The 12765-nt window shown below is 39.1% G+C and overlaps 1 protein-coding gene across 3 annotated transcripts in view; it reads right to left on the reverse strand.

Moving 5' to 3' along the window:
- The window catches only part of CDC20B (cell division cycle 20B), a 60207-nt gene that overhangs the window by 21589 nt on the left and 25853 nt on the right, over nucleotides 1–12765 (reverse strand). For all 3 annotated transcript variants that reach the window (NM_001145734.2, NM_152623.2, NM_001170402.1), the window contains exons 3-5: nucleotides 12069–12297; nucleotides 8954–9084; nucleotides 5755–5848 (exon numbers count right to left, since the gene is read on the reverse strand). In NM_001145734.2, the coding sequence (NP_001139206.2) occupies nucleotides 5755–5848; nucleotides 8954–9084; nucleotides 12069–12297 (454 nt within the window). The remainder of the gene's footprint in view (nucleotides 1–5754; nucleotides 5849–8953; nucleotides 9085–12068; nucleotides 12298–12765) is intronic.

Below are 12765 nucleotides of genomic sequence, written 5' to 3' on the forward strand. Positions count from 1 at the left end.
GAGACCCACCTGGGCAACACGGTGAAACCCTGTCACTACAAAAAATGCAGAAATTAGCCAGGCATGCTGGTACATGCCTGTAGTCCCAGCTACTTGGGTGGCTTAGGTGGGAGGATCACTTGAGCCAGGAGCGCCACTCCACATCAGCCTGGGTGACAGAGTGAGGTTCTGTCTCTAAAAAAAATAAAAAATAAGACATGAAGAAACCTTAAATGCATATTACTAAGTGAAAGAAGACAATCTGAAAAAACTAAATATTGTATGATTCCAACTATATGACATTCTGGAAAAGGAAAAACTATAGATACAGTAAAAAGGTTTCTATGGGAAGGGGAGAGACGGATGAACAGACAAAGCAGTGAGCATTTTTAGGGAAATGAAACTATTCTGTATACTATAATAGTGATACATGTCATTATACATTGGTCAAACCCATAGAATACATAACATCAGGAATGAACTCTAATGTAAACTATGGACTTTTGGTGACCATGATGTGTCAGTGTAGGTTCATTGATTGTAACAAATGTACCACTCTGGTGGGAGATGTTGATAACGGGGGAGGCTGTGCATGTGTGGTGACAAGGGATATAAGGGAACCTGCACCTTCTGCCTAACTTTGCTGTGAACCTAAAACAAATCTAAATAATAAAGTGTATGTGTGTGTGTGTGTCTATATATATATATATACAGAGAGAGAAAGAGAGAGGGAGAGAGAGAGACTCCTAAAATATCAGAATAATATAGGTACATTATCTCTGGCTTCATAGAACATATATTTTTTTATTCTAAGCCAAATACTCAGCACCTTACAGAAACAAAAACTTGTTGCTGTTTAGGACAAAAGACGAGGGAGCTGAGGAAAGACATGTCCCCACATATTTTATTTTGCTTTTAAGAAAATATCATTCTAAGGAAAAGACAAGGTTCACACTCTCATCCCAACCATATATTCCCAAACCCCCAAAAGAACATTTAGAAGGCCTGAAATTTTGTGCCTATTTTTATGCATCTAACTCAATTTTTTTCCCCTTTTTACTGCTGGGAAACAGACGCTTGAGGAATAAACATGCACAAAGTTCTAGCTAGAAGCTTGTCCAATCTGCAGCCCACAGGGCACATGCAGCCCAGGAGGGCTTTGAATGCAGCCCAACACAAATTTGTAAACTTTGTAAAAACACTGAGATTTTTTTGTGATTTTTTTTTTTTTTTTTTTTTTAGCTCATCAGCTATCTTTAGTATTAGTGTATTCTATATGTGGCCCAAAACAATCCTTCTTCCAATGTGGCCCAGGGAAGCCAAAAGATTGGACACCTCTGTATTTAGAAGTTAAAAGTGTGTATCTATGTGTTATCTACATAATTTTTAAAAGAAAATTTCCAAAAAAAATATTTTTTTTTTTGAGACAGAGTCTCACTCTGTCAGCCAAGCTAGAGAGCAGTGGCACGGTCTCAGCTCACTGCAACTTCCGCCTCCCTGGTTCAAGCAATTCTCCTGCCTCAGCCTCCCGAGTAGCTGGGACTACAGGCACCCGCCACCACGCCTGGCTAATTTTTGTGTGTATTTTTAGTAGAGACAGGGTTTCACTATGTTGGCCAGGCTGGTCTCGAACTCCTGACCTCGTGATCCACCTGCCTCGGCCTCCCAAAGTGCTGGGATTATAGGCGTGAACCACTGTGCCCAGCCCCAAAAAATATTTTTAATAAAAAATTGGGACACGGCAGGTGCAGTGGTTCACACCTGTAATCCCAGCACTTTGGGAGGCCAAGGTGGGCAGATCATTTGTGGCCAGAGTTCAAGACCAGCCTGGGCAACATGGTGAAACCCTGCCTCTACTAAAAGTACAAAAATTGGCCAGGTGTGGTACCACAGGCCTGTAATCCCCACTATTCAGGAAGCTGAGGCAGGAGAATTGCTTCAACCCGGGAGGTGGAGGTTGCCATGAGCCAAGATCACACTACTGCACTCCAGCCTGGACGATAGAGCAAGACTTCATCTCAAAAAAAAAAAAAAAAAATAGGACAAGCCATAAAAATAGAAGTCTACTTTAGCATTGAGGATTTCTGTCTCCTTGTTCACATTTATTTTTGAGACCTTGCCAAAGCACCCCATGGATATGCTTACCAGAACTTATTCCAGAGGGGAAATGTAGCAGGCAAGTTTCCTTGGCATTTATGAAATGAACCACGCTAGTTCTCTCAAGAGGATTCTCACACAGAATTCTGGCTCCCAAACAATTATTTTCCAGCCATGACAATAATCTCATGAATAACACAAAAACGTCCATGATGGCAACAGAAAGTAGGAATGAAAACACATGGGGCTCAGGGTCAAAAGACTTTGGGAGGCCAAGCACAGTGGCTCATGCCTATAATCTCAGTATTTTGGAAGGCTGAGGCGGGTGGAGCATCTGAGGTCAGGAGTTGGAGACCAGTCTGGCCAACATGGTGAAACCCCTTCTCTACTAAAAATACAAAAATTAGCTGGGCATGGTGGTGTGTGCCTGTAATCCCAAGCTGAGACAGGAGAATCGCTTGAACCCGGGAGACAGAGGTTGCAGTGAACTGAGATCGCGCCACTGCACTCCAGCTTGGGCAACAGAGCGAGACTCTGTCTCAAAAAAAAAAAAAAAAAAGAAAGAAAGCACTGAGAGCTCCAAATGTAGCATGGAACAGGACCTTCTAGAAATTGCCACAGGCAATTATCTCCCCACTGCATGGCTACAGAGCTTCCCTGATAACGCTCACAACACCACCATCCAAAGTTTCCTACCAGCTTTCGGCAAAGAGGTACACCTGAAAGTTTACAGGGGCTGCCTGCTGTAAGGTTTCAGAGTCATTAGATATGGACAAGGCATAAAGAATTGCTTTATATACACAGCATTTGGATAACATTTGTCCCCGTGATCCACTGATGAGCAATTACTTGGCTTATGTGGGATCTGTTTCATAGTTTAAGTTCCCTTAAAAGAATCAACAACAGAGCCTTGCATAGAGTATTCAGAGGGCCTCTCAATTAGTCTTTGCCACCAACATCCTCCTGTTCAAATCGTTTCTTCATGCTGCCACTAAAGTGATCTATGGGAAGGGGAGAGACATAGGTAAGTCAAGTCAAGTTGGAGGAATGGCCATGTAAGTTTATTTCCTCTGCCTCCTATTTTCAACCTAAGTACAGCAAATGACTTTTTTAAGGGGTGAAGACACAAGAACAAACACTATGGGAGTGAATATAGCAGTGGGCAAGAGAGCCCAATAATTTTCTAGACAGTGGATAAAGGATTAATAACTGACCAAGAAGAGCATAAGAAACTACCCCTCAAGTGCCTGCAAAGGGAGACAGTGAAGAGAAACAAGCTGATTTGCCTTGCAAAATCCCACAAGGGCTCCGAGGCACAGAGAAGACTGAGAGGTGGGTTAGTTAAAAGACTGTCAAGTTCCCACACATACACACACACCCTGCCCAACCAAGTAAATACAGACACACATATATGGATATACCAGAAGAAACCAGATGTTTATTCTCTGGATAAATAAAAATGACAATTTTTTAATTCAATAGCGCCAGGCACCATGGAGATGTATGAAACAAAAAAATAGATTTTGAGTTAAAAAAAAAAAAAAAAGACAGAGCTCACTCTGTCGCCCAGGCTGGAGTGCAGTGGCGTGATTTCGGCTCACTACAACCTCCGCCTCCCAGGTTCAAGTGATTCTCCTGCCTCAATCTCCCAAGTAGCTGGGATTACAGGCGTGAGCCACTATGTTCAGCTAATTTTTGTGTTTTTACTAGAGATGGGGTCTCACCATGTTGGCCAGGCTGGTCTCGAACTCCTGGTTTCAAGTGATCCACTGCCTCGGCCTCCCAAAATGCTAAGATTGCAGGCTTGACCCACCGCGCCTATACTAATATCTTTATACTGAATTTACCCTGGTACTCTTTAACCTACGAAAGGAGAACTAAGCTCTTTACCCTAGTACTATTTTTAAAACAGCACACCTTTCAGGAAAGTTTTCACTCTGAGAGAAGCCAAAGTAAATGGGGGGTTGGAGGGAGAGAAAACCAAAGCAAAGGAAAACAACACAGAGAGCACAGAAGTACTTCTAAAAATCTATAAAATAATATTGTCAGAGATATAGGAGAAGATAGTATATCCATGAAGCATGAACAGGATGCTGTAAAAAAAAAAAAAGGAACAGAGTACAGAAATTGCTTTTAAAAAATTAAAAGTAGGATAGCCAAAATAAAAAGTTTCATAGCGAGGTTGGTGAACAGAGTTGAGGAAATCACCCAAAAGGTTTAAAAATAAAAAAGTGAGATGAAAAATAGAAGATAAAAGATAAGAGAATTGGAGAGTCAATCCAGGATATTTCATAAAGAAGGAAAAAATAAATGACAATAAAAAAAATATTAAAAAATAATTCAAGCAACTTTCCAAGAACTATAGGATATGGATCTCCAAGAATGAAAATATCCACCAATGGGCTTTTGATTTACAATGAGTTTTTTTTTTTAATGCCAAGCTTTATCATCATGAAATCTTAGAACACTGGTGATAAAAGACTTTTCTAAGAGCATCAAGAGAGAAAAAGCAAAGTTGAAGTCAAATTAACACATGACTTCTCAACAGCAACAGTGGATACTAGAAAACCATAAAGCAATATTGTCAAAATTCTGAGTGAGACTAGAATTTATAGCCAGCCAAACTATGAATCAAGCATAAAAGAAAAATAAGGACATCTTCAGACCAGCAAACCCAGAAAGAGCACAACATAGCTGCCCAAAAATAGTGGATATAATATTGATGAAAAGTCCCAGAAGACAACTGTGCAACTGGCCAAGAAAGCAGCCTGTTCAGCAGGCTCTGAAAGGGAGGACATCAAGGAAAAGAAGAAACTGGAGTGAGTGAGTGCATGGAAAATGTTATTGACAGCTACGGAATAAAACATTGGAGCATTTAGAGGAAATATTAATGGTGTCATAGTTATCTAGTAAATGAAAACTAAGGCAACTTTTAATACTCAGCTAAACAATTATACTAGAAAAGAAGCATAATTATATTATTTGGCTTGATAGTGAATAATAGTTGTGTAGTAATATGATGTAAACATTAACTACTAATTTTACTTTTTTAAAGTGTGATATAAGCATGTCGAGAAACTGATGAAACTGAATGAGGCAGGAAGAGAACTAAATTCTTATCTACTATGCCTGTAATCCCAGCACTTTGGGAGGCTGAGGCAGGAGGGTCACTTGCGGCCAGGAGTTCGAGACCAGCCATGGCCAACATGGTGAAACCCAACTCTACTAAAAATACAAAAAAATTAACCAGGCATGGTGGTGCATGCCTATAATCCCAGCTACTCAGGGAGCTGAGGCATGAGAGTCCTTTGAACCCGGGAGGCAAAGGTTGCAGTGAGCCAAGATCGCACCACTGCACTCCAGCCTGAGCAACACCAAAAACAAAAAAGTCATGATTAAGTCTAAAATCACAAGAAATAGTAGTTTACCAATATTATTTAGAAAATAGATGTAAATACCAGGAGGACAGCTGGAAGAACTAAAGGTGGTCACCTATAGAGAATGGGACTTGGAGGTAGGGGTAGTTAGAACAGAGGATTATGAGAATTATTCATATTTTACAATTAGGTTGATTTAGTCTAGTAAATATTAAAAATAATATATTTTAAGATTAGGAAGAAATGAAGGAGGCAGAGAGAGAGGAGCGCAGGAAAGAAGGACAATGTCTTGATCCTGTACCTTTCCAAACACATTCGGATTGCTCACAGAGCTGCATTTTTCCATTAGCCTGCTGAACCACGTTCTGGGTTACAAAGAGTTGTTTTAGGCATTTCTGAAAATAAACACACATAAGGAGAATATTTCTTTAAAAACATACATGTACAACTAAAATGTAATGTATAATATAGAATTACAACTGGTAATTCACTAAGGAGTTCAAAGATTCCACATTGTCAAAGCCAACACCACAATAATCGCTATTATTTATTAACTAAACAATATATTATGAACAGTGCTGAGCATTTTACATATATTATTTCTCAACTATGGAGTTCAACAACTCCATAGAGCAGGTATTTTTTGGCTAGAATAAAATCTTTTTTTACTCTTCTAGCCTAAAAATCTGTTTAGCCTATACACCATAGGCCAGTGATATCAGCAAAGCCTGCCACAGCTGAATGGCCATCTTAAGGTCCTTTTTTGTTAACACCTTCACAGAGCTCTTAAGTAACTTTACTAAAATTCCATGTGCACAAAAATCTGGGTCCCATCCCTTTGGGCCAATATATAAAGAGCCCTTCTGACACTCTTACATCCAACTTCAATCAAAAACACCTGGGAAAATTAGTAATAAGTGGAAAGAAAAATAACTGTTGGAATTTCCTAAAAACATAGTGATAAATGATTAAAGCAGAGAAGATTCTGTTTTGCTTCTTCACAATAAAATATTTGCTCTCCCAAATATGACAAACACTGTGTCAGGTTCAGAACTACGCCAAAGGTCATGTTGAGGTCTGGAGGGAGTGGGTGGATGAGCAGAAAGAACACTTTGGGGGGCCGTAGGCAGGTGAATGATTTTATTCAGCAGCAGCTCTCATCAACAGCTTTCTTACACTAGCTCTCTACACTGTTCACCTTTATCTTGGCTGCTTAATTGATGACCCACACACACAGCTGCAAGACTGGCTCTCCCTTGCCTTCAGGGTCAGCAGCTTAACACTTTCTTTCTCTGGGCACGAGCAAGCCAAGCTGTGTCCTGGCTCCCCTCATCCATCTGCAAAGACAGCTCTGGCTTTCTCTTTCTCCAGGTGCCAGCTTCTGCACAGTGTCAACAGGGCAATTATACCTTTTACGGACAATAGTGGCTTAGAGCCAAGTGATGGCCTTCCCGGTGTTATAACTATAGTGGTGAGCTTCTCTATGTTGTGTCTACATGGCTATGATGACAAGTGGAGTTATACGCCTGTGCTCTATACTCACTGAGTCACGAAGAATGTAAACATCCTACCTCGGCCTATCCTTGACCAAAGCACAGCCATGTTCCTTACACTCTGGGTCCCCACGGTTCAGACAGAAGTCTCTCTGACAGACAACATTTTGGTATTTTGTTTTTCTTCCTTGATGTTATGTCACATAATTGGCATTGCTGTCAATGAATCGTGGTTTTTAGTTATTCAAGGTAGAACAACTAACTAGAAAGCAGGGTTTCCCAATCTTGGCACTATGGGCAACAATTCATTGTTGTGGGAGCTGTTCTGTGCATTGTAGGATGTTTAGCAGTAACCCAGGCCTTCACCCACAAGATGCTCTCCCCCTGAGTTGTAACAATGAAATGTCTTTAGATATTGCCAAATGCCCCTTGGTGAGTAAAATCACCCTGAGTTGAGAACCGTTAGTATAAAATAATATTCCTAAAATGGCCTGCTCATCAGTAGTTCAATGAACTCTTCACAGACTCACTTCTTTAGAATCCCACAGTTACCACAAAGCTGATCACAGCAAGGTTTAGCAGGCGCTTCTGTTCTGTGGGTGCAGGGGTGCTCTTTCCTAGATGAGATCGACTTACTACTTTAATCAGCAACTTAATATGGAGCTCCTGGAAGATGAATTCTGAAAGTCTCCACGGCTATGCAGGCCCTCGTTGTGGAAACACCCTCCAGATGATCAGTGAGGACCACATGAAGACACACGTTTACTCTACAGGGGAAAGACCTCGCTTTGAGTCTTCACCACTCTCGATGCTATTTGACTTCTAACTAATCATGACAAAAAATGCTCTCCTTAACACCATAGAACAGCTTCCATTATCCCCTGCCCAGGTTCTTCAGTGATGCTGGGATGATGTTCCAGCTGGTATAACAATTGCTAAGGAGTATCTTGCCAACACCATCATGAGCCCACAGATGGAGCCACTAACCTTGCTGCCACCAGTTACCAGAAAGGATAAGAGGAAGGAAAAGGAAGTCTTAAGGGGTAGGGCAGCAAAAACTCCAATCAGCAGTAGAGGGTGGAAAACACAGGAGTGTCAATAATCTGGCCCATGTTTGAGGCCACCAGTGCACCCTAATTATCTCAGTAGGACTCCCCGGCCATTCCCTATCCCCCAAACCCATATCCAACAATAAAGCACACATCAAAATACCTGCTCTAAAACATTCACTTCCAATTGCATATGAGTTCAGATAACTAAAATTTATATGAACAATATTTTATTATTCTTCTAGCAAAATAGCCAAGCACAGAAAAAGGCATACACTGAATAAGTAATTTTGCCTAAATTGAGAATTTATGACTTTTCTAGTTCAAAGCTTTCGAACTGAAATATGGATTCCTTCAAAGACTCTTCATTGGATTTGATAAATTCAAAAACATGCTGTTGATATTTAATGTGCCCAAAAGATTTACGTCAGACTCCTAAGATCTTAAAACTATAATAAATAAAAGATACCTAAATGTAATAAATGTACTTAACCAAGAAAAAAACAAACAACAAGAAAGGCTTAAGGGAAATATTTAAAAGACCATCATATAGAGCAATAATTCAACTTTTCCTAAGAGACCCCAAAGGACAGATCACATCATCAAATAGTTGGAAATGATGACAGCAAGAGATCCTTAGGCTAAGAGGAAGCATACCGTAATAAGTATAATTTCATTATATTTTTAACCTTTACCTGTTTGTAAAGATAAAATAGTTATTCTCATTTTCACTTTTTTAATTAATCCCAACTCAACATTTTCTCATATATTTGGGGGATATCTTCTTTCTTTTACAAAGTGGCTCTATTCATATCCTTCAATTATTCATTTTTTATCAGGAATGCATCATTTTCTTATTGATTGGTAAGAGAACTAAGCAACTCTTCCCTTACATTTGCAACTAAGTTGTCTCAGCTTCTCTAGATGTGGGATCTTCAGTTTTTTTCTCTTTACCTACCTGCCCTTTTGAGGCAACACTTTCTTTCCAGTCTCTGTCCATTGCATGAGGTGCCTTGCAAAAATGGAGAGCAGAGTTACTTGTTTCAGAAATTCCTTTGCTGGGGGTCTTCAGTTGTTCTTTGCGGGATCCTACAAGAAAGACATTTATCTTTGAATTTGGTTTTTAAAACAAGATAATCACTTTGATTGTAGGTCTGGCTGTGGCATCTTTCACAGAAGGACAGAGTGAAAAAGCCCAGGCTCTCGTCACTCCAAAGTCCATTGCAGAGAGCAGGACAGAGTGAAAAAGCCCAGGCTCTCGTCGCTCCAAAGTCCATTGCAGAGAGCAGTACAGAATCCTATCCAGACTGCTGACTTCATAAGGTTGTCACTCAATGAGAAAGCTGTCTCAGTGGCCTCTAGAGCAGGGAAGAGGTGCCAAGATTAAAGACCTGACTTCATTTGCTGCAGCAGCAGTGTGAATGCTTTATCTCTGTATGGAAAAAAAAAAAAAAAAACCAGATTTGCACATTTGAAGAATGGATAGAAACAGTTCCATAGTTTTAAATGATAGTGGAAAGAGTATCTGGTTTGCCCGAGCTATGGTCATCCTGCAAGGAAAACATTATGGGATGCTTGCTTTGCCAGCATTGACATTCACTACATAATCATGAGCAAATCACTTTGCCTCTCTCCCCCTTTCTATTGCAGAAAGATGTTTTAAAGATAGTTTAAGATGGCATCAGTGAAATACTTTCTAAGTTAAAGTAATAGAAGGGTCAATGTTACTTGCATCAATATTATTCCTATCTACTCTCTTCTCAAGATTGAGAAAGCCCTTTACCAGACTTTCAACTGCCCTGGAAACCTGTCAAGTCATTCTCTAAAACTAAATATCTGCCATATCACTTGTTCATCACAGGAGCCAAGGGACCATTGGAAAATCTTAGCCTTTTGCCATGTGACAATCTCTTCTTCATTTGGACAACCATGAGCTTGATAAATTCTCACTAATGTTCCTAGAGCCTAGTACCTTAAGTACTGGGACATTCAAAATTTAAGCAATATATATTACATTTAGGGAGAAGAAGGATAAAAATATGAAATGCTGGTCAAAGTTTTAGATCTTGCTCTTTGTCCTGAGAAATTATGCATGCTTGCTTTCTTGTGCTATTTGTAAAAGTGTACAGGGGAGAAAAAGCCAGCTCTCAGAACTTCAAATGAGAAAGAAAAAGTTGCAGTCAGAGGCTAGTACTGACAATCATCACAGTTATATACAAAGAGGTCAGGTCCATCAGCCTAAGAAAGAAGGGACCTCTCAGGTTCTGTCCACAGAGCATGACTGAAAATGAACCTCTCTGTAAATGTCCCTTTGGAATGGGAGGATCTTCAGTATCTGCTCTTCTAAAACAAAAAGAAAGAAACCCCACTAGCAAAGCACTGAGAAACCAGTAGATCTGATTAATCCCTAGTATTAACTTCAGTAGAAAATAAAATGGTCTTTCTTGTAAAATCCTTTTTGTTAATATCTGATTTCTGAATTTCTCACACAATGTCATACTTTTTTAAAAAATCAATAAATTAATTAAGAACCTAGAAAGTAAAAGGGAGCCCCTAATTTTAGCCAGAAATTCTTCCAAAAACAATCAGCATCAAAACTGTCCCTCAATTGCAATGAGATACAAAAGATTTCTTTCAGAAGATAGTCATAACAATGTTTTTCACAACCCTTTATCTCCTACTGCTTCCCTCCTCGGTTATTAAATACTTTCAGTATTAAAGCCTGTCGTTACATGGGAATTTCATTGATTTGAAAAAAATCTGGGCTCCCTTTCAATCTGCAGAACTGCAATGCATCATCATGTCTGATGTCATTGAAAAGAGTTGGCACTTCTATTAACATTTGTCTTAATAAATACGCTGATAGTCAAAAGAATTATGTTGCCTAGGATTCTCAAAAGAAAGAATGGGAATTACATCAGCTGATGATAGGTGGCAAATTTTGCTTCTGAAGGATGGGAATGAAAATGTCTGTGCCCAAATGAGAATTACATATTTCAGAAAGAGAGTTTGTGTTTCGGGGCTCTGGCAGGTTGATCATGGATCCTGCCCATCACACTGGTGGTTTGGAGCCCACTCCCCCATCTCTGCCCCAACATAGGCATCAGACTGTCTCTCACTCTCCTTTCCTTCCCTCTTCTTCTTCCCTACTACTCTTGGAGGTTCTTCTTTCTTCTTTCTTCCTCCTCCTCCTCCTCTGTCTCCTCCTCTCTTCTCTCTTTCTCTTTGTCTCTCTCCCCCCATCCATCCCCTCATCCCTCTCTCTTGCTTCCTTCCTCTTACTTTCTCTTCCTCTCATTCTCTCCTGCTTCTGTCTTTTTCTTCCATTTCACATCTGATTATTCCATTACTAACGCATAATTTTTTCTGACTCTGTATACCAGTAACCTTACCAGTCATTAAAATTCTATACTTTGCAAAACAAAAGCACATATATATGTGTGTATGTGTACATATACATATATACATATACATTCATACAATCTTTACAAAAGTAATCATCTAACCAATGCAAGTCTCAAAAACATATTAAAATTAAGCTAAATTTTGCCTGAGGATGTAGGATGAGTCCCTACATCTCAAACTGCAACCTAACTTGGGATGTAAACTAACTGAAAGCCTAACTTAGCTGAGTCTCCGCCAATCACAGAAGCTGAGCTTCAGTCAATCACAGGCGGCCAACTAATCAGACCACGTGCAAATAAGGCGAACTGAGCTGTAGCCAATCAGGCCGGCTCCTACGCACTTCCAATTCCTATCCATAAATGCTGCCCGCCCCCACATGGAGTGGCTCTCTGGTTGCCCATTGGCCAACGGTTCTTTGCACAATTAACTTTGTAAAATTTAATTTGTCTAAAGTTTTGTTTTTGTTTTTGTTTTTAAACACATACAGTACCTTTCCTTTGTTTTTGTGTCATTTCTCCCCACCTTGGAAATTTCTTATTCAAAGGGAGAAAAAGAGAAAAGAGTTGACTCAAAGTGACACTCCTTAGTTCTACAAGACAAAGATTCTCTCAGGAATATATCTTTTATTCACGTTGCAAAACGGGGCTGTGGCGTTTGGGGCACCTCACCTAGAGTCAAGGTCTCTTTCTCAGGCGGTGTCTTCAGCACTGATCCGGAAGCTTCTGGGAGGTAGGTGGTTGACTGCTCTTCCCCAAAGGAATCAGAGGACAGAGCCCTAGTTTGACTTTGCTGCCACCTTGTGGTAATGGGGCTACTCGCAACAGGAACCTCTGCGGACAGCCTCTTCGCAAAGTTGCTCTTAAAGTCAGAATACGTAGCATTAACTGAATCGAGTACCTGTTTAACAACAAAAACAGCTGTAAGTCCACTGGCCTCAGTGATGCAAAAGTAAAAATTCCCTATAAGAGAATTACAAATGACTCATCTAGTACAACACCAATAAAATATATATAATGAGATTTTTTTAATTTTTGTAACCTAGATATTATTTTATATATTTGTATATATTTTTGTATATAGTTATACGTAAAATGTTATATTTTATAGTTACATATTATATAAACATAAATATGTTATGTTTTATATATTTATATATTATATAAACATAAATATGTTGTTTTATATATTTATATATTATATAAACATAAATATGTTGTTTTATATATTTATATATTATATAAACATAAATATGTTATGTTTTATATATTTATATATTATATAAACATAAATATGTTATGTTTTATATATTTATATATTATATAAACATAAATATGTTATGTTTTATATATTTATATATTATATAAA

This window comes from Homo sapiens, chromosome 5 (assembly GCF_000001405.40).
Source record: "Homo sapiens chromosome 5, GRCh38.p14 Primary Assembly".
Lineage (NCBI taxonomy): Eukaryota > Metazoa > Chordata > Mammalia > Primates > Hominidae > Homo > Homo sapiens.